The sequence below is a fragment of the Homo sapiens genome, chromosome 7 (genome assembly GCF_000001405.40).
Source record: "Homo sapiens chromosome 7, GRCh38.p14 Primary Assembly".
Lineage (NCBI taxonomy): Eukaryota > Metazoa > Chordata > Mammalia > Primates > Hominidae > Homo > Homo sapiens.
The window spans coordinates 32241343-32263711 of NC_000007.14; the positions used below are offsets into that span (position 1 = coordinate 32241343).

Genomic DNA, 22369 nt, shown 5'->3' on the forward strand with positions numbered 1-22369 from the left:
AGTTGTACCTCATACCCAAGTGAAGAAGATGTTTTAAGAAGGAGGGAGTGGCCAACCATGTCAAATGCTGCAGGGTGTCAAATATGATGGCTTCTGGATTTGGCCAATGTGGAGGTATTGGGTGATCCTGACAAAAGCAATGCCATTGGAGTTGTGGTGGGGTGCAGGACTGGTGTAGACTGAAGAGAGAAAACTGAGTCTCCATGTAAAAAAAAATTATGTTAAGAAATTTTTCTACAAAAGATATCTAAGAAATGGGGCAATCACTAGAGGAGACGGTTATGTCAATACATGGTTTCTTTTTAAAAATGGAGGCCATTAGAGCATATATGCATGTGGGTAAGAATAATCCAGTGGAAAATGAATAATCAGTCATGCAGTGGGGGGGCAGCACTTGCAAGCAAAGTTCCTGAGAAGGTGAGAGAAGATAGGATCCATTTCACCAGTAAGGATGCTAGCCTCAGCCACCGCCTATCTGCTGTATCCACAGAGAGGAGATGGGTAGACACAGCAAGTGATGGAAACAAATGCAGAGTATGTGAGTGCAGATGCAGGGAGGGTGGGAGATACAGCAAGGGGAGCATGTGGAAGTTCTCTTCTGATTGCTTCTACCTTCTCAGGGGGATAAGAATCAAGGTCATCAGCAGAGAATGGGAAGAGTGGGCAAATTTTGAGAATATAAAATAGTTGTCTCTCAGAGTGGGAGAATGCACTGACCAAGATTTGCCAGATAGCACAAGGATCCATTATAAGATTTGTGGTCATGAATTTTTAAATGAGGCAGTAAGCATGGTTTACCTGGATTTGGGGTTTGCCAAGCAAATAGAGGGGAGAGAGAGTTGAAAAGGTATGCAAGGGAGTGATTGTAATGGTAGCCCATGAAAACAAAATGGGTAAGGAGGGAACTTAGAGTCTGATAGGGCTGATGGACAATGAAGATAGGTTCAAGAATTCGGAGTTCCCAGGGGGTTGAACAATTGTTGAAGGTGGGCATCTAGAAGGAATGAGCTGGGAGCAAAGAAAGGAGTAGTCAATGAGATGTTGCTAATGGGGTTATTGGAAGGGATGCAATTATTGGTAAAAGCCTAGGGTATGCCCATGGAAGCAAGTAGCTAAGAAGGCAAGATCATTCGAGGTGAGGAAGTCGGTTAATGAAAAGAGAAGGGTATTGGGAGGATTGTCTCTTTGGTAAATCAAAATCACCAAAAACTATGACAAAAATGGTGGCCTGGGTGCAAATGTCTTCGAGGAACAATTGGAGGTAGCATATAGGTAACCATAACAAAGAGGGGTGGTGGGTGGCAGAGACTGGTGGCAGGAGCTTTAAAAGAGCTGTGGGGGCTTCTAAGGAGGATGCAAGAACAATGGCCCAAAGCAGCCATGAGAAGGGAGAAGTTCATCTATGAGCCTCTGGGCTTGGGGGCCATGGGAGAATAAAACTGCCAGTGGAAATAGTGTCCTCCAAAGACAACCCAGTTTTAGTTGAAGCAAAAGGGTAAAGTGGCCATTCAGTGAAAATGTTGAGGACACAAGGGATTTTGTCTATGAGAGAATGAGAGCTGTACAAGGCCCTGTGGAAGGTTTAGGGGAATAAGGAAAAGAGAGAGATTGAAGGATACAGTACAGTCAGATTCAAGGATACAAGAGATACAAGGGACACGTGTCCAGGAGATGGTGATGGATGACCTTGGCCTTGCTGGGGTGCCTGACACAAACGAGTTACTCCTGGTGGACACCCAGGGACAGACAGTCTCTTTGGCAGATTAGGATGGTAAGTGGGAGAGAGTAAGGAGGGAGAGTGGGTCTTGCCTAGATCACACAGGTACTACACACTCTTGCACAATGAACATATGCATGGTTTATTATTTAGGAAAATGGTTCAGAGACAGAGCTTTCTACAAATGAGCACTGAAGAGGTCCCTCCATAACTAGGGGGTTTCAGTCTTCCTGGGCTGGTGCTCATACTGTTTACAAGGCAGGGAGAATGGGGAACACTCAAATTAGTCCTTTGAGCCCTTAGAGATCAGCAGCTTGGGGTGATGCTTGTGAGAGGGAGGAAGCTGATGACAATGGTTAAAATGGGAGGTGAAAATTATCTGTGGTTTTCAATTATTCATACTCTCCTCAACCCACCTATCATAGGACTGGATCTAGGTAGACTTAAAATGGTTCAAACTGCACACCAGACATCACAAAACAAAGTAGTGCTTCCATCACACAGACCTGGAGAAAAGTCAAGATATCAGGAACATCATGGTTGGAGTCGGAGGTGGTGATAGTGGGATCTGGAAGAGTCCTTCCAGTGACCAGCAGTCAGAGGTAGGTCAGGCAGGCCTGGATTTAAATCCTGCCTCTTTTCCTGGGAGAAGTCATATTTCCAAAATTTAGTTTCTCTGCATGTAAAGGTGGAGTATAATAATATCTGCATTTGAAGATAGTTATGAAGAGCAAAGACTGTTGAGCCCTTAGTAGCAAATCAGTGCAGTAAGAGGACAAGAGAATGTGGGTGTTCCTGATACGAAGGACACTTAGACACAGGAGTTTCTGAACTGGCTGTAGAAAGAATGAAGCACATCTCAAAAGCCTTTCAAGATGAAGATTTACATGTCAGTGAGTTTCCAAGGAGACAGATTTTACAAAAGCTACTATGAGATACGCTTCCTCTACCAAGACAAGATAACATCACATGCTGCTCTCAGTGAGTTCCTTCTACATTCTGACACATGATGGAATTGTAGGAGGAAGAGGTCTAAAAGCCAGAAATGAAGGCAGCACCCCACACCTGATTTGTGGAATGAATGAATGAACCAATGCTGTGTTTTCCCTTCATACAGAGATGGTAGAAAAGAAGAGGGCGGGACATGTAAAAGTGGCCACATAGGGCCCAAGGAAGGAGGATAGAGGTAGTTGGGGATGTAGTTGTTGGCCCTGGGACAATTGGTAGGTGCTGGATAACAAGAAAGAAGACAAGAGCCCAGACTGGTTCTTAAAACTCAGTGTACCTAAAGGCCATGCAGCCAAAATCACACATGAAAGCTGGCCTTTCAAGCACTCTCAGTATTCCAGAACCAACTGCCCTGACCTAGCCAGTCCTGCACTGAAGCAGCATTTTAAGAAGAGGCGTCTGTGAGTCCTGACATTGAACATAGAAAAAGGAATTCACTTTGGATCTTTTTCCTTTGTGGGTACTTATTTCCACCTAATCAATGGCTCTCTCAATCTTGGGCACGGCTTTCCAATGAGTGTTCTGTACAACACCAGTGCCACGAGATGGTCCATGAAGGAAGAACACCCTGTCAGATAATGCTGAAAAAGCCTCCACACATCTTCCCATCACAGAGCTATACCATGCACATTGACAATAAAAGCTCGTGATGTTCCGCTGTAAAGAAACCTGATGCATGGTGTTTTTAAAACATATGTGACTTTTCTCATACAACTATGAAAGTGATATTCTCCTGGACATCACTGCCCTACATGTTGTCCTCAAAGATGGGGCTCAGAGGGTGTCATGAGCCACCAGAGCCTGCCCAGCTGCCCACTAAACAGTTGGTGAGCACACTGCCTATCAGAGCGGTACTGGTTGCTCAAACCGTGTCAGCTCCCAGAGTCCCTGGGAAGGCCCAGCTAGGCAGGCACATTGGTCCTTGTTTTAGAAACGAGGAAGCTGAGGTTCTGAGAGGTGATGTGACTGGGCCAGGCCTTCATAACCGGTGTGTGGTTGGGTAGGACCTAGGACAAGGTCTTAGGGACCCCCAAAGCCATGCTCTTTCCTATGCCAAGGGCACTTCCCAGGGAGAAAATGCACCCACAGCAACACAGTGTCCTAGTCCCCTTGGAAGTTCAACTTCTCATTGTAACTAAATAAATTTGTGGGAGCCATGGTAACCCTATCCTAGCACTGCCATCCCATCAACCCAAGCAGGCAGACAGCCCTTCTCTTTGTTTATCTTTAGCTGAAACAACAAAACCCCTAAAATGCCCTCCAATCCTGAGATATCTTGCATCTATAAAAGAACTAAGCAATACAATTAGCTCACTGATTGCCCAAAGCTGATCCTAAGGCAATTTCTAAAGAAGCAGAATTCATTTCTGTGAGCTTTGCTCTCTAATGCCATTTTCTGTCCCTTCTCCAGCCCAATCCTCGTTCTGCTTCCCCTTTCGCCACCTTCCCCTCCTCTACTATCCTGTCTTCTGCTCTCCAGAGAAGACCTAAGACAAGCCAATCACAGCTTATTGAGCAGTTTATGGCCCTATGTTTTCTCTCCCAGGTGTATCAGCATCTTAGTCTGTCTGGGTTGCTCTAACAAAATAACATAAACTAGGTGTCTCACAAACAACAGAGATTTATCTCTCATAGTTCTGGATACTGGGAAGTCCAAAATCAAGGCACTGAAAGATTCAGCATCTGGAGAGGGCCCGCTTTCTGGTTTACAGACAGTGCCTCCTTGCTGTGTCCTCACATGGTGGAAGGGACTAGCAAGCGCTCTGGGGTCTCTTTTGTAAGGTCACTAATCTCAACCACAAGGACTCTGCCCTACTTATCCAGTCAGCTCCCAAAGGCCCCACCTTCTAATAGTAACACCTTGGTTAGGATTTCAATAAGTGAATTTTCTTTTTCTTTTCTTTTTTTTTTTTTTTTTTTGAGACAGAGTCTTGCTCTGTCACCCAGATTGGAGTACGTGGTGCAATCAGAGCTCACTGAAGCCTCGAACTCCTGGACTCAAGCAGTCCTCACGCCCCAGCCTCCTGAGTAGCTGGGACCACAGATGTACACCTCCACTCCCAGCTAATTTTTTTATTTTTAGTAGAAACAAGGTTTCACTATGTTTCCCAGGCTGGTCTCAAATTCCTGGGCTCGAGCAATCCTCTTGCCTTGGCCCCCCAAAGTGCTGGGATTACAGGCGTGAGCCACCATTCCTGGCCATTCGACGTATGAATTTTGAGGGGCCATAAACATGCAGAACATAGCAATCAGGCACTGACTCTTATGCTTATGACAAAGAAGAGCTCTGCCCCATTGGAGGCAGGTAGGAGGCAGTAGCAGGGGGCAGATGTGTATTCTCCTACCCCCAAGCCAACTAGGTAATTTCAAGAAAGCCCAGAAGATCAGACACTGCCACAGCGAACACAGCCCTAACTAGCTACTGGCCATGGCTGGTCAATGTTTATGTATTTGGAATCTTCTTAGAACACAGAGAAGAAGCACTTAGCAAAAGTGAGCCTACACAGAATGTGAGAACATGGAAATATGTAATCCCTATGATGTTCTTTACTGACACATTTAAAAAATATTTATTGCAAGCAGGGAAGCATGTTCATGAAGAACAGAGGCTCTGGAGTCCAACAGATACAAGTTCAAACACTGGCTCTCCTAAATATCAGCTGTGTGACCTCAGCTATGTTTCCTCGGATATAAATGGGTTTAATAATAGTACCTACCTTGTAAGACTGTTATGAGAACAAAATAACTCATGTTAATAACATCCTATCACAATACATAGCATGTAAGATGACAATAAATGGTGGCTATAATTTTGAATTAAATGTATTGAGTGCTTTCTCTGTGTCAAGCACAATACTATGCACTGAGGCTGAAGGGATAAATAAAATACAGTCTGCCTTCAAGAAGCATTCAGTGGGAGAGAAGTCATGCTAACAGATCATCATAACCTTATAGGGTCAATACTGTAAGTACATAAATTAGTGCTGTGGAAATCCAGAAGGAGTGAATAACACTGGGAGAATCAAGAATGGCTCCACAGAAAAGATGACACTTGAACCTATAAAGGAGGAGTAGGATTTTAACAAATGAAGAAAGGTGTCAGCATACGCAAAGGCCAAGAAGAGTTCATGAACATGGCATGTTTGGAAATGACTAGAGAGGTTTTGTGCGAATTGAAGCAGTGGCCACAGACCAGGTCTTGGGAGCCTAGGGCTTCTTGGCCAAACTCAAATTTTTTTATTTATTGTCTGTCTGTATGAGGGTAAGGGCTCCTGTCTTAAGCATTGCTGTGTCCTCAATGCCCAGGATAAGGAATGATACATGGCAAATTCTCTCAAGAATCATTTGTTAAGGCAATGAATTAATTTTATCCCAAAGGTGATGGGTGGGCCATAGTAAGCCCACTGAAGCAATGGGATAAAACTTGGCCTGGAAGAAGAAAAGACAAGTGACATGGTGAGTAGAGACAGTCCCCAACTTATAATGGCTCAACTTACAATTGTTCGACTTACAATTTTTCAATGCTGCAAAAGTGTAGGCAGTTAATAGAAACTGTATTTCAAGTACCCATATAATCATTCTGTTTCTCACTTTTAGTACAGTATTCAATAAATAACATGAGATACTCAACACTGTTTTATAAAATAGGCTTCGGTTTAGATGATTTTGCCCAACTATATGCTAGTATAAGTGTTCTGAACCTGTTCAAGGTAGGCCAGGCTATGATGTTGAGCAGGTTAGATATATTAAATGCATTTTCAACTTACAATGGTTTTATCAGGACATAACCCCATCATAAGTCTGTACTATGTACAGACTAGTACATAGTACTAGTACAATGGGCATCTGTACTAGACTATGGTAGTAGTGAGGGCCTCCAGGGAGGCATAGCAATAATGATGGAAAGGAAGGAATGGATTTCATAAACATTTCCAAAGTGAAATTGACTCAACTCAGTAAGTAACAATATACTATGTGGGCAGGAGCACAGGATGGCTGTTTGAAGTAAGACATGTTGCCATTCAGAGTAGGCTTGGGCAGCTCAGATGAGGGTGTAAAGATAATTATTTAATATTATACCTGTTGGGTTTGAGGTCCCTGTGGGGCATCTAAGTAGAGAGGTCCAGTTGGCAGTGGGATATATAAGTTCAGAGTTTGATAGAAACAATGGGGGACTCCAGACAGAATTCATTGCAATGAGAGAAGTCCTCGAGGGAAAGAATTTAGAGTGGAGGAGAAGACCAAATCCTCTTCAAAGAACGTGCACCAAGAATGTGAAATTCACTGGATTATAAATACTTAGGTATACAAGCCAGATTCCCAGCCTTGAATGGGTTTATAACCTAACAGGGGACTCAAGAGATAAACATGAAATAGGGAATTAAAATGTAGCAGGCAAAATTGAAATAGCAGCTTGATTCAGTCCCAGAAGGGATTTCCCAGAACTTGGAAGAAAGACTACCCACTGAATTACACAAATACAAAGCTAGGGGTGACCAAGGGGGACACAGACTGACAGAAGTCCTCCCAAGGAGGTGAGCTCTGCAGAGACCTAGAAGGATGGGTATGATTTATAACAGGAAAAGTACAAACTCTGCAAAGAACCATTATTATCTCTCATCAAGTAGACATGCCAGGACCCTCTGTTGCAACAAATGCTCTCTGACCCAGATGCTGCACTATAATTCACTTCTAATCACACCGATGAGGAAAAATGTCAGCAACACTTGGAAAAGAAAACATCTGGAGAGAAAAGACTTTGTGAAGAGCTTCCTTTTGTTTTTTGCTTTGTACGTGAATGCTGCTGTGTATGGGAAGACCAGACATGAGACATGTTGGGTAGGGGTATCAGGGGAGTTGTTTATGGCAAGGAAGAGAAGTGTCCATAGTCTTCAGGTGTATGAAGGGCTGTCATGTAGAAGAGGGACTAGACATATTCCCTAAGATGCTGGTGAACAGGAGCTCTTGGAAGTCAAAATCCAGGACCACTATAAAGATGTTCAATGGTCAAAGGTATCAGGAAGGAGTGGGTGGCCTTGGGGGCATAACAAGGTACCCTTCACAGCTGGCAGTGTTCAGGCAGAGTCTGGACAAGAAGGGTGCTATGGAATGGGTTCAATCAGGGCATAAAAATTCCTTTCCAAGATTCTAAGGTTCTGCAATCAATTCTTAGCCAAACAACCTAGATCATGTCACTGCAGGGGGTGCTTCTAAATGCTACAAAATATGTCTGGGAGAACTACTTGGTGGTGTTTTTTCCTTAAGGTGGTAAACGCAAGCAGAAGCATGCATCTAACTGCTCCTTAGAGGATCTGCTGAGCAGTAAGGTCCAACCTTCACTTGGATCAGGGATATGGCATCAGTGCTGGAAACAAGGGTGTCCCCTCAGCGATTGCATGGGACACTGAGGGAGGAGATGCCCTCTTAAACACCAGGCTAACTCAGTAAAAAGGCTGTTCATGCCTGTAGCAAGAGGACAAAGGACACCCAAAATCTATTTCTGAGAGTTGATCTTGAAGAGCCATCCCACCACACTGGCGACTATTTTTGTCAATTCTTCTTTGGACTGATTTAAAACTTTTTATTTTTAAGAACTAAATGCCTTTCACAAATGCTATCTCCCATATCCACTCCACAGCCCAGGAGATGTCATTATTTCAATTTTGCAGATAAAAAAAATTAAGGCACAAAAATAAGTCAATCATCACGTCTTAAGTATAGTGGAGTCATACCTTCTGTGGGGGTGAGGTTCTAAAGTTAGTTCACGAGGCAAAAATCACATGTGCTCAAGGGTTACCTTTGAAAATCCCTTAATTCAATTGTATAGTCCATGCAATAAGGTAGAGTATCAAATAAAGAATATAAATACAAAATATACATTTTAAATTTGCATTTCCCTTTAAATTATATAAAAGAGAGAAAAATTCAGGATATACAGTTAACTTTTCCTAAGTCAAATGTGCACAGGCTGCCACTCCACCATATGCAGAGCATGTTTCAATCTATAGCTCTGTATTAAGACAAATGAGCTGCCCTAGGTCAGCTGGCCTGTCAGAAGCTGAGTAATGACACAAGAGCTCCCATTTATTAGACACTGCCTGCCTGCCAAGCACTGTGTTAAGCACTTTATTGAATCCTCACATCCCCCTGCCTCTGGGGTAGACAGTGCTACTATCCCCATTTTATAGATGACACATATAAGAATGACAGGAAAAGGAGACCCTGGGTCACACACACAGCCATTAGGCAGCAGAGCTCGAGCCAGAGGTCTGTCTGACTCAAAAACATGGGCTTTGAGGAGCAATTCTCAAATTAGGTGCGCATCAGAATCACCTGGGGAGGGAGCCTGTTAAAAATGGAGTTTATTGGGTCCATCTCAGACCAATTGAATCAGACCCCTGGCTCCCTTCCCAGCCTATTCTGATCCAGGTGGTCCACAAACCACACTTTGAGAAACCCTGCTGTCGGCTCTAATTCCCTACCTAATACACTTTCTATGAAATCACATGTCAGTGCTGTCTCTCTAATGTCGTGAGGACTATAAATAAAATGTTTTATGACGATCACTGATAATGCTGTAGCCACATCCTCTTACCACTCAGCTCAGAAGCAACAGCGCACAGCCCCACCATAAGCACACCCAGTGACCTTGGGTTCATTTTAATGATTCGGGGCAGAGTAAAGCCTTTCAAACTATGAGACCTTTTCCTGCATGAAATCTGTTTCATAGTTAACCCAAATAAGCTTTTTACTAAAAGGAAATACCTCAAAGCCTGATTACAAGTTCAGGTTTGGCTGTAACACACCGCAAAGGCATCCTGTCATGGGCTTGCATTTCTGAATGGAATCATTCTGCTTCTTTTGATTGAAAAGGCGCATGATCTAATGCCAGATGGCGACATTTGTACAAGTCAAGCCGGATTAAGTCAGGAGCTCTAGTGAAGCATGATGCAGATAAAGAAAATGACGGATTATCAACACACACATGCGAGCGTGCACAAGCACAAGCGCGCGTGCGCACACACACACAAGGCTAATGCTAACTTCTTTAAACTGTGGCAACAGATTCCCTGTCACACTATCCCTGTTCCCTGGCCTTTGTCCCCAGCCTCTACCAGCTGGATACACTCCCACATTTGCTCACCTGCCACCGGGGTGTCCACAGTCCAGGCAGACCTAGACCTGAATCCGGCAGCCCAGGACTAGGCCCGTCATGTCCTCTCCCACCCTACTTTGACCTGCACGTTTGAAGCTGGGGTGGCCCACTCTAAACATAGCATAAGTGGCCTAGAGCTGCAACTCAGGCAAGGGCACCATCATCTACCCGGTTTTCCAGACCAGGCACCTTCGTCATCCTTCACTCCTTTTCCCTCGCCTTCCAAATCAATTCCATTACCAAGTCCTGTCAATTCCGCCTCTAGCCTGTCTGCGCCTTTCCAGCCACCACTTCCAGGATGATCCTAGTCCCTGTTCCAGCCACCATGCATCTTCTCTGGATTGCTGTCACCATTTCCTACCTGCTCTCCTGCCTCAAGAGTTGTCTCTCCCCACCCTGCCCCCTCACACAACCCCTGCACCTGCACAGTGCCTGGCTCAGAGGAGAATAATACACACACTGAATATCATCCATGAATAATAAACATCTCATTGAAATGTTCATAACCCTTTGCTCTTTCTCCATTCTCCATTTTCCACCATGTCTGCCCTTAAACCTTTGTAGCTCCCCCTTGCTTTTAAAGCTAAGTCCAAACTCCTTATGATTGCTGACAAAGGTTGGCCATGGCCATCAGCCCAGGGTGTCACCTGCTATTCCCCTCCTCACACTCAGGTCCAGCCACAGTGAGGTCCTTTTAGGTGAGATCTGGTCTGACAGTATCAATCAGATCTCCCCCTGTGGTTGTAAAGATGACTCAACTGATAGACAACCCTGAATATCTCCAGGGAGGGTTCCATTTTGCACCTCTCTATAGAGCCAGGATACTTAGTGGTTATGAATATTTTATGCAAATTTCAATTATTCAGGGACCAATAATCTAATTGTATATTACAAGATCACTTATGTCTCCTCCTCTCTGACCTGCTTACTTTTAGTCAACTCCTCCCTAATATAAGTATATAAACAATGCACAAACATATTTTCCAAAACAGTCTTCATTTGCTCACTCAGTAACTACTTCCTGACCATCTGCTCTGTGCCCAGCACTGCACAAGATCCCGGGACTATAAGGCACAAACCACAAGGCAGTCACAATATCTTCCCTCATGGAACATATATTCTAGTAGGAAGATGGGCTTTAACAACAAATCATACAATTAATTATTTGTTGATGATTTTGTAAAATATTATGAAGGAGAAGAACCAGGTGCAAGGAGAGCATATAGCTGTCTAGTCTGGGGGGAAAGGGATACTTTTTTGAGAAACTAACTGTGAGCTGAGACCTGAATGACAAGCAAGAATTAAATCCACAGCAAGGGCAGGCAAGGAGGAGGCATTCAGGCAGAGGGAACAGCATTTGCACAGGTCCACATGGAAGGAGGATGAATGTTTGAGGAGGCTACTGTGGCTGCAGCACAGAGGAGGGTGGGAGAGAACTAAAAAATCAATCCAGGAAGGCAGGGCCAGAGTCCTCAGGCCTCGCAGCCCAGTGCTGCTCAAACTATGTATTTGCAACGTGTCAAGGACTGACACTTTTGTGAAATACAATAAAAATGAGTTACTAGAAAATTGAAATTAAAAGACATACAAAATATGAGCCCAAATGTTTTACCACTAGTTTTAACACATATAAAATTATTCTACCAGTTACTGTAAAAGTTTTTAAATGCTTGACCTCTATTTGTGTCCCTTCTCATGGCCTAACCATAACAAACAGCTCATACACCAGCTCTTGAGACCATACTTTGAGTAGCACAGTGGACAGGAAGCCATCAAAGGGTTCTAAGCATAGGTGTAGCAAATTCAGAGTTGTGTTTTTCAAAGATCATTCTGGCTGCTGAATGGAGAATGGATTTGGGGTGGGAGGGGCAATTGGGGCTATTGGAGATGTCTTAGTGAGAGATCATGTATCTTAGAAAGAACAATATTTAATACTCGTGACAACCTATGAAGTAGGCATCAACATCTATTATAAAGTGGAAATTTAAGGTCATCCCCAGAAGTAGAATTCACATTTCCAAAAACAGTGAATCCAGACTCCCTGAAGCCTTATTTAAACGCAGTCCTTATTAAACACCACCTTATTGGTGACCTTATAACAAGATCTTTTTTGTTGCTTCTGTAAATAGCCTTTCTATGCCATTCACAGCTGTACTGGCCTTTACCGAAACCCCACAATGCTCCAACAGCCTTACGCGCCTTCCAGAGAATACAGCTGCCATTCTTCAAGCAAATGTCTCACAATGAATGAATCCCCAGAGGTAGAAAGAGAATCTGCTTATAATAGCCTGTTCTTTTCACTGCTCTCTCATCTCTCTTAAATGGATGGATTTCCAAAGGGTCCTGATTACTTTTAGGAGACAATTGAGTTTATGCAGCTGGGGAAAGAGAGGATTCAGGGAAAGCCAAGATGATTTCAGTCTAATTCAAATGAATATTTCTGTGGCATAAGCAATGTGCCAGGCATTGAGCTAGATATGGAGGTTACAGACATGGGGAGATGATGTATAAACAATAAAGGGCGCTGCTGCACAACAAACACAATACGCAGACACACACGTATAAGCAGAGCCCAGGAAAGGGAGTGTCCACTCTAAGGTCAGAGGACAGAGATCAGAGAATTTGATCAGAGATCAATGACTGTGATCAGAGATCAGTGACTGATTCACTTTTAAAATAGGAAAAGGGATTTTCCTAGGAGATAAGCCTGAGAACACCATCCTAGGGAGAGGGATCAGCATGACGCATTTGGAAAACGTAGGCAGCTCACTACTGAGAAAATGCATGGGAATGAGGGAAATGGAAGAAGGCAGGACAGGGACAGTGAATCCCAAAGGGTCTCATGCACCACTGAAACAATGAAATGAGGCGATACGGGGCGTATCAGAGGATCTGGACTGGGCTAGACTCCAAGAGTACATTTGAGGACAGGTTATTGTTGGCGCATTGTTGCAGGTGAAAGAGAACAAAAGAGTAGTTCTGTCCATATGACACTCCTCCATGGATACCTCTAGAAACAACAGGATGAGACTCTGAGGGAGCTGGAGGTCCTATGTTATGCAGGTGAGGACCAAGGCCAGTGACATTTGACTTGCTACTATGACCTCACTGGAACTGACAGGTCCAGGAAACAAGTCCCCTGCACATTCATGAGAAGGCACAGAACTTTGTGTGTTGGCCCTGGTGGAAAAAGCACAACTCTCCTCTATCAGACCTCCTGAGAGAGCAGGAAAACAACCCTCTCCCTTTTCCTCCATAACTTTAAAATGTAGCCAGAAAGCCCGATATCTTCCTTCACTGATGTCATCATATTCCAAAAGCAATAAATAAATGCAGTTTTCTAGGTAGATAATGAAGAGCAAGAGATTATAACATTTTCTCTACTATTCATCAGAGACAGCACCAACTTGGGGAAATCGATGCAGAGTAAGTGTGTATGTTTTTGTGTGTCTGTGTGTGTCATGTATGTGTATATGCATGTGTGTATATGAATGTGTACACACATGCCCAAGTGAGAGAGGAGAAGGCAGAGGAGATCTCAGAAACCCCTGCTACCAAGGAGTTATACTCCACTCCAAGAAGGGCTGCACTACTCAGGGGTCTAAGACCCTGCAATCAACTCTATGCTTCCAACAAGCACCCCTCTTCCAATTCCCCCAGACCCCACCCAAATTCACTCAGTAGACAATGGCTGCCCCAGAAAGTCCAGTTCATGCCCTTAAATCTGACTTGCAAAAAATCAAACAAACATTTTTCCTTTCTTCTTAGGAATCTGCCAAATGCAGCCAGCCTAAGTTAGATGAAACATGAACCTTTCCCCATTGCCAAAGTATTCCCAGAAGAGCTCAGAAACCCAAGTCTCTGTTTTGGAAATCACCCACATTGATAACAAGAGGTCCCAGAGGCTAGTAAGGGCCCAGCGCGTGAACCCAGGGTGGCTGACGTCACTTTGCAAAGCTCTTAAGAGCATTAATGAGTTCATGGGAGTCAAGGCCTCTCAGATGGGAGACACCAAGATAAACCGCCTGGATTTATTTCTCTGCCAGTGGGGTCCTGTCCCACATCCTTCCCTCTCTCACTGAGAGAGCAGCAGACGCAGGGGAGGGGAAGGAGCCTGGGCTTTGGATTTGCATAGACCTCAGTTTGCATGTGGCTAGGCCACACTCAAACTTTTTAACTTGAGAGCGCATCAGAAACACTTGGCCTCTGGCTTCAGGATCATTTAATCATGAAACATTAGATGGAGCCATAGTTTTACATTGGGCACTGGGGACTAAACACATTTGAACAGACCCCAATTCTGTCCCTGAGAATATCTCAGGAGCAACTACGATGCACTGCACTAAGTATCACATTAGACATATTACGAAAGGTCATGGAAGCCAAAGAGAAAAGGATATTTGTCCTGCATGCAAGGAAACAAAAGGTTTGGAAAGCTTCACCAAGGAGGGTACATTTGTGATGGGCCTTGAAAATACATAGAAGGAAGAGAAAGGACACCCCAAATAGAAAGAAAAGTACAGAGGCAGAACAATAGGTGGCAAGCTTGGACATTACTAGCTCATCCTGTGGTGTACCCAGAGTTAAGCATGCATGGTCAGGAGTGGCAGAGGCTGGTGCAGATACTTGTGCAGATACAGAAAGGGCTGGTGGACTATGGTGAGAAATTCCTCATGAGGGAAAGAGGACACATCGAATGTCTAAGTAGAGAAGTGACACAATCCCACATGTGTTTTGGATAAAGCACTGCAGCAACTGTGTGCAGGGGGAGCAGAGTATGAAGCTTAAAAGTGGAGAAACCATTCAGGAGGTTAGAGCTGCTCAAAGACTGAAGCAGAGTGTTACACAGGGCAAGGAGATCAGGGAAGGAAATCAGAAAGCATTTCACAGGAATTGCCTGAACTAGTTCCAGTGTGTTTTGCCACTTCACCTAAGGCAAGCTTCACACAAAAAAAATTAATCCTCGGGGATGTGAACATATGAACTTTAGCAAACAGATGTCTCCCAGAAGTTTTTTCTGAAGTGCGTAGATGACATTAACAGCTTGTTTGATGGAGTTTTCTAAAAGTTTAGCATAAACATCCTGTTTGGAGCCACAAACCAGGGGCTCCCACTGCAGCCCTGGAAGTGTCACTGTCCTATCAGGTGACTGGAGTAGTAGGCCCAAGAGGGAGGCAATCAGGCATCTGAGCCAGTTGTATGGTGGCAAAGCCCTGGAATTCGCACCCCAGCTCCCCTTCCTCCAAAGCATAAGTGCAAGGGCCTAATGGCAGCCAGCTCCCCTGAGAGCCTGTTTTTCCGCCAGAAGCAGCAAGTTCCTTCTGCCAACATCTCTACCAGCCTAGCCAACAGATTCCTGTTGCCCACTCAGCCTCATCTGGCCACAGGATTTCTCAGCTGTTCACCAGGTTCCCCCACCCTGCTGTGGGTCTGATCAGTCCCATGGAGTAGTGGGAGAATTACTGAATAGAGAGTAATGTGGCCTTGGGCAAGTCACCTCTTCTGTTGGCCCCAGTTTCCTCATCTGTAAGACAGAGGCAATAACATCTATTCTACCTACAATATGCATCATTATAAAGATTAAATACAAGCTATATTAAAATGCTCTGTGAACTCCAAATCAATAATAGGGTGCCACTGTTTCAACTTCCAATCCAGTCTCCTAGTTTCAGCTTCTTGTTTTGTCTCTACCTTCTTTGAGCAGGCCCCCAGAAAAGGTCATTTTGAGGTTGATCCCGGGGAAGCAGGGATGAAATTCATCAGTCCATCTGTCCATCCATTGCTCCCTGCATTCCACAAGCATATGCCCAGCATATTTCATGCATCAGGCAGCTGCTAGGATTATCAGACACACAGTTTCTGACCTCAAGGATCTCACAGATAAGCCTCTCAACCAAAGTTTGATGATTAGTGACTAGACACCAGTGCAAGAAATGAGGAAAGATTGAGACGATGAACAAGTAAATATAAGATTTTTGAAGAAGTTAGACAGAGAAAGGAGAAAAAAAACAAATGAGAAAGGGGAATGGCAACTTCTGTGGTGCTGCCCAAAAATTGCCCTGGCTTCCTGCGTCAGGTTCATCTCTATTCACCTCTATTCCAAAGCTAAGCCTGTCCTTGGAACAGAGCAAAGGCGCAATGAAGACTAACTGATGTTTAAATGATGTCCCAGGAACCAACTCCATGAATTCAAATCCTGGCTCCCTCATTTACTGTTTGACCATGGCCAAATTATGTGGCTTATTTGTGCCTCAGTATCCTCTATAAAAATGGGTGGATAATGATTGTACCTACTTTAAAATGTTGTTGTGAAAATTTAAATGACTTAATATTTACAAAATGCTTAAAACAATGCCTGGCACCTTGTAATTATTCTGAGTGTTTACCATTATTATTGCTATTATTGTTATTATTACTACTACTACTATAATTATTAAGCAATCATGAAACAGAAGTGGTGGCTATCTCTTAGGCGGCAGGCAGCCACTCAAGATCACAATCACTTCAATTGTCCAAACCTAGTGAGGCTAAACACCAGAAGAGGGGGCTGCTCCCAGCCAACCAGACACCAGCAAGGGCTCTGCCTGGTGCTCTCTGACTTGCATGGCCACATTTTATCTCTGGGAGCAGAACCAAATATCCTCATTACTCCTGACAATGTGTCCAAAAGAGGCAGTGACCAGCCCTCTCAGGGACTGTCCTGCAGCCAAGGAAATGGGCATAGCAGGTTACATGCTGTCTATCCATCTACCTGCTCAGGCAAATTGGATAATCTCCAAAGAGCCAAACAGGCCAATTCAAAGACACCAGGTTTCTCTGCAGAGTTTCCAGGGGCAGCAGATGAATGGAATAGTACCCCAAAGGTACAAGACAAATGCTTTACTGCGCTTGGGGCCAAAGGCAGGTTTCTGCTCTAAGAAGGACACTGACTTAGAGTCAGGGGAGCTGAACTTGAATTTAGGCTCTGCTGCCCACAAGCTGGGGACCATGGGTAAGTTCCCTAACCTCTTAGATTATATGTGTCTTCAATTATATGATGGGAATAATAAAACCTACTTCTCGGAATTAACTTATATCCTAGCCAAAGGTGTAGCACATTATAGGCATTCAAAGCTGTGAGATGAAACTCTGCATTGGATCTGGTATCAATATTGGCGTTGACTATTACTTGCATCTTCCATACAGGAAAAAGACAATGACTCACTCACCAACACATATTCCATGCACTTCCCTTCTTGCCCATGAGAGCTGGGCCCTGCACGTGGGGGTGACTGATGTGCTGAGGGACAAGGGCAAGGGCACGCCCTGCCAAATTCTCCATTAACAAGCTGTGCACATGCCCAGCACAATCTGTACCAGCCATGGGAATTCAAGACTATGGGGTCCCTGAGGAATCACCATGTTAAAAAGAAAACAAAACAGCCAGGCCAATGAATGAAAAAAGAGGGACTGGCTAAGACATGGAAACTCCAGGAAACCCAGCAGGCAACAGCAGCCAACTTCCTGAAACTTGATTTTGGTTAAGCTTGCCGCCTTCTGTGATTTTTTACTCAAGCCAAGTATCTTTTACCCAAGGGTATCTTTCTTCATACCCTCAAGGAATCCTTCAAAAGGCCCAGCTCCTTCCAGGCCTGCAAGACCCAAGTCACTCACCCTCCTGGAGCCTCAGTCTTCCCATGTGTGACTTGGAAACAATAGGATCTGCCTCTTGGAGCTGCTGGGAAGATTGAAAGAGGGAATGTCCATGGTGCGCCCAGGACTGAGGAGGTCCTCAGTAGGGTCCCCCCATATCACTTCATGGTTTGGACATTGGTGGGTTATTGCACATGGTAGAACATGAGTAAAGGTTTATTAACTGGAAAGACATTTTTACATTCCTGATTTTTAGGCATTTCACGTGGTGTATGTTTCCTAACTCCCTAGACCTACAAGAGATGGTGTCAGCATTTTTCTCCTACCAAACATAAGTTTTGATAAATTGTTCTTCCATACTCAGAATGGAGAGCAAGAAAGAGCCAAGGTTGGGGAGGGGCAGCACGGAGACCCCAACTCAAGGCTTTCTATCTCTAGCTTCTTTTCTTCCTTCTCCTCTCTCCCTTCCATCATCAGCTCTTCTTTAATTTCCACTTACATGCTAATATGGCTGAATAAGTGCCCAAAAGGTACAGGACAAATGTCTCACTGTGCTCAGGGCCCCGGCAAGTCTCTGCTCTAGTAAGAAGGTGGGGCAACTGGATTAAATTTGGACTCTGCCTCCCACCAGCTGGGGGAGCTGGGGCAAGTTCCCAAACCCTTTAGAGCCTCTGTGGCTTCATCTGGGATGAGGAGGCATTCCTGGGACTCTAATCCAGTTCTGGCTTAAAATCTCATGGGTTTCTCACTACCCTGGGCTGAAATTTTAAGGAGTGAAACAAAACAAATCACTTCTCTTAAGGAAGGATTGTATTTGTTCTCCTCATCCAGCCCCAGAGAAATTCCTTGAGCTAACGTCATCATTTTTCTACCCTATGATGTTGCTAAAGAAGCCAAAATGGACCCAATTAGTCTGGAGTAAGAGAACACTGCCCACAGAGGCCACCTGTCACCCCCACGAGCCCCTCCTGCCCCCAAGCAGGTGATGAATGGGTTTACTTTGCACATTCACTTCTCAAAACCTCCAGCTACAGGAACCCATCAAGTGACATGAGGTAAACACCCGGCACAAACCTGCAGCAGGTCCTTTCTCTCACCCAGCCATGGCTTGGTGCCCAGAAATTCTTCGTCCCACCTAAACACTGGGCTGTTCCCAAACAGGTGTCATCAGACTCTGAGGACCGGGCCCAACCAGTCTCTAGAGGGCTGCTACGAGGCTCTTCCTGTTTCCAGGCGGACTGATAGGGGTCACCTGACCAGAGGAGACTTCAGTGTTTAGGGTTTTGGCTTCAGGTTCTGACTCAAAGCAGAAAGTCTACGAAAATGAGAGTTAAAGTCACAGAGGGAGGCAATGAAGTGAAGAGCACTATCTGAACGCAGTCCCACCAAAAGTCAATGAGCAAATCAGTCAACAGTGGAGAGGCCTTGAAGCCTGGCTCCACCACTCAGCTCTGTGACCCTGGAAACCTTATTCAACTTTTCTCAGTTTTCACTTTTGCAAAATAGGAATGTGTAATTATTTCTAGTATTCACGACTGCCCTGAGCACTGTGAGATGACGTATGTGTGAAACATCTGGCACAGAAAAGGCCCCCGTGAAACATGGCCCTCAAATTTGTTCACTTTGATTCTTTGTTTCATGAGCAGAGGGGTCAGTCCATGGAGGGCAGCCCTCTGTGGGTTTTCTCTGTGGAGCGATCTCGCCTTCCTCGCCCCTGTGGTGAAACCAACTTTGCAAAATTATAACTGAGGAAATTATGACAGTGAAAGAAATCAGAACTAACCAAATCTATCTTGCCTCTAACCCTTAAGCTGTCCTTGTTCATTCCTGGGCATAGGCCGAACTAACTTTGGGAAGGAATTCAGTTCATGGTTTGACTCTGAAACAAAATTTATAACAGCCCTTTCCCGAAAAGACCCCCTTCTTGCCTGGGGACCAGTCTGCCTTTGCAAGACTAACAAATTAGCTACAAGATTAGAAATTGGCCGGGCACAGTGGCTCATGCCTGTAATCCCAGCACTTTGGGAGGCCCAGGTGGGTGGATCACCTGAGGTCAGGAGTTCAAGACAACATGGTGAAACCTCATCTCTACAAAAATACAAAAATTAGCTGGGCATGATGGCAGGTGCCTGTAATCCCAGCTACTCAGGATGCTGAGGCAGGAGAATTGCTTGAACCTGGGAGGTGGAGGTTGCAGTGAGCTGAGATCGCACCACTGCTCTCCAGCCTGGGCAACAGAGCGAGACTTCGTCTCAGAAAAAAAAAAGAAAAGAAACTACAGTTGAGGGGTCATGCAGCCTCTGGCTCCAAGAGTCTGAACCTCCCCAAATTGCTCCTGGAGGTAACATCACTTTTGTAAAACCTAAGATCAGTGCTTGAGATATTTTGCAGACCCCCACACTTGATGGATCAGCTGACACCACCCAGACCAGTAATCTAGCCAAACCAGTTCCGCCATCACCTACAGGAACAGAAAACAGCAAGAAAATCTCACTTCAACCCCCTATGATTCCATCTCCAACCTGACCAATCAGCACTCCCCACTTCCCAAGCCCCTACCCGCCAAATTATCTTTAAAAACTCTGATCCTCAAATGCTCAGGGAGACTGACTTGAGTAATAATAAAACTCCAGTCTCTCGCACAGCCAGCTCTGCGTGAATTACTCTTTCTCCATTGCAATTCCCCGTCTTGATAAATCAGTTCTCTCTAGGCAGTGGGCAAGGTGAAACCATTGGGATTTACAGTGGGATTGACAGAAGTCAGAAAGTTCCCATCAATGATGTATGAGTTCACTGTTGGCCTCTTAGATCAGAAGCCAGGAATTAAGTCAACTTTGATTTTTACATTGAACCTGCCCAGAAGTGTCTATAAACGTTATAGTTAGAACAATGTGAATCAGAAAAGCTAGGCAGACATTTTGGTGGATATAAGTCATTTTGAAATAATGCATTCTCTCAGCATCAGTTCAATATCACTACTTCGTACATTTTTCTTTTAATATGCCACCAGTTTTAAAATATTGTTCTTAAGGAGAAAAAACACTAATGGGCTAAAATTATCCTGAACCTTCCATTCTGAAAAGCAAAATATTTACAAACATGGTGTGCTGACCCTGAGAAGGATGGCTCACACCAGGGGTTGCTTTGGGATTTTTTTTTTTTTTTTTTTTTTTTTTAATGTGACATCTAGTGGCTGGTGAAAAAACAGCCATCAAAAACCAGGTAGAGGGGTAGAACTTTGCCTGATTCACCCCCACTGGATGGGAATATTTTTTAGTTTTTTAATTTCTAAATTGAACAATTCACAGGAGATGAAAAGCTATATGCCAGAATAATTTTTGACATTAATTTGTATTTCGTTCTCTGTGATTCCCACCTCCACTTTATACCCAATTCTAAGCAAATAACCAGGTAGCTAAGTCTGTGGCCCCCTCCTATCTTCTGTAAAATCTTAAACTCAATGAAAAAATTATGCTGGTGAGTGAGCAGGTGCTGGGAGGAAGGAACAGGGGGTGCTGATTACCTTTGAAGGAGAGAAAGGAGACGTAGCCCCCAGAGAGCAAGAACTCCAAACTGAAGACAGGTTCCTCTGAGGAGCACTGCCGTGCAGCCTGCCGTGTAGCAGGGTGGTGGCAGGACCTCACAGGGGTGACTGCAGGAGGCCCCAGCATGGGAGAACATCTGGCACACAGGGTCTGTGTGTGTTGACTATGGCAGATACGCAGCAAAGCCACCAACACTACTGCAGGGAGCCAAGCTGGGACATGCAGGTCCATGGTACCCAATGTAAACCAGTGAGCCACAGCTGGGGTTTTCTTTCCCTCCCTCCCACTCTGTGTTGCTCTGATTCCTAGGACATCTGTGAGCTTTGGGAAGGGGGAGCCCCCGTAACAACTCTTTGAACTTTCTGACAACTTTTGGGGATAGTATTTTGGAATAAGATTAAAGTTGATTTTTAGAAAATTAAGGCAGATGATATGTCTTGAAGGCCTAGGTGTAGGGGCTAAACCTTCTACCTAAAGGCTCTCCTTGCCCCATAAGGCTTCTATTCCCACTTTAGTCCTCACTTACAAAGTTCATTTCATTCAAGACTCTACAAAATTTAGATTCTTGGTTTTATTACCATTGAATTATAATTAATGAATTTAGATATCAAATGTGATTACCAGAGTCCAGTTTCCTCCTTTCAGTCAGGTGGAGCTGGTGTGATATGAGGATCTCCCGGAATGTGTTCAACACACCCCATTCATGACCATCACCCCAACATCCCTGCTAACCCAGGTCTCTGGGAGCAGGAAAGGTAGAAAGAGCACAATGTATTGTTTTAAACTTTTTTGGAAGTAATTTCTAACTTACAAAAAGTTGCAAAAACAAAAATGGTACAAACGATATCCATATACACTTTACGCAGATTCACCTACTATTAACATTTTACCTCACTGGCTTTTCTCTCCCTTGCCTTCTCCCTCCTCCCCCTGCATATATACATGTGCGGGTGTGTGTGTGTGTCTGTGTGTCTGTGTGTGTGTGTGTAGTGAATAAATTTAATTTAATTTTTATTTATTTTTCTGAACCATGTTAAGATAAGTTACATACATTATGGCCTTTTACCCCTAAATACTTAAGGTTCTATTTCCTAAGAATAGAGATAGCATACTACAATTATCAACCTCTTATATTTACACTGATACAGTACTTTAATCTCCCATACACACTCCAGTTTTGTCAACTGATCTAATAATGTCCTTTATAGTATTTTTTTCTCCAGGCAGAATCCAGTCTATGGTCAGGAATTGCATTTAATTGTCATGCCTCTTTAGCCCTATGTAATCAGGAGCATTTCCAACAGCCTATTC

General features: G+C 44.2%; 1 protein-coding gene across 9 annotated transcripts in view; it reads right to left on the reverse strand.

Annotated features, from left to right (window-relative positions):
- Positions 1-22369, reverse strand: part of PDE1C (phosphodiesterase 1C) — an 811448-nt gene that overhangs the window by 624566 nt on the left and 164513 nt on the right. Inside the window, exon 1 of one of the 9 annotated variants that reach the window (XM_017012265.1) lies at positions 17535-17590. The exons of the other annotated variants lie outside the window; for them this stretch is intronic. Coding sequence (XP_016867754.1) covers positions 17535-17559 — 25 coding nt within the window. The 5' untranslated portion in view covers positions 17560-17590. Of the gene's footprint in view, positions 1-17534; positions 17591-22369 lie in introns of those variants that run through there. 9 annotated transcript variants of the gene reach the window in all.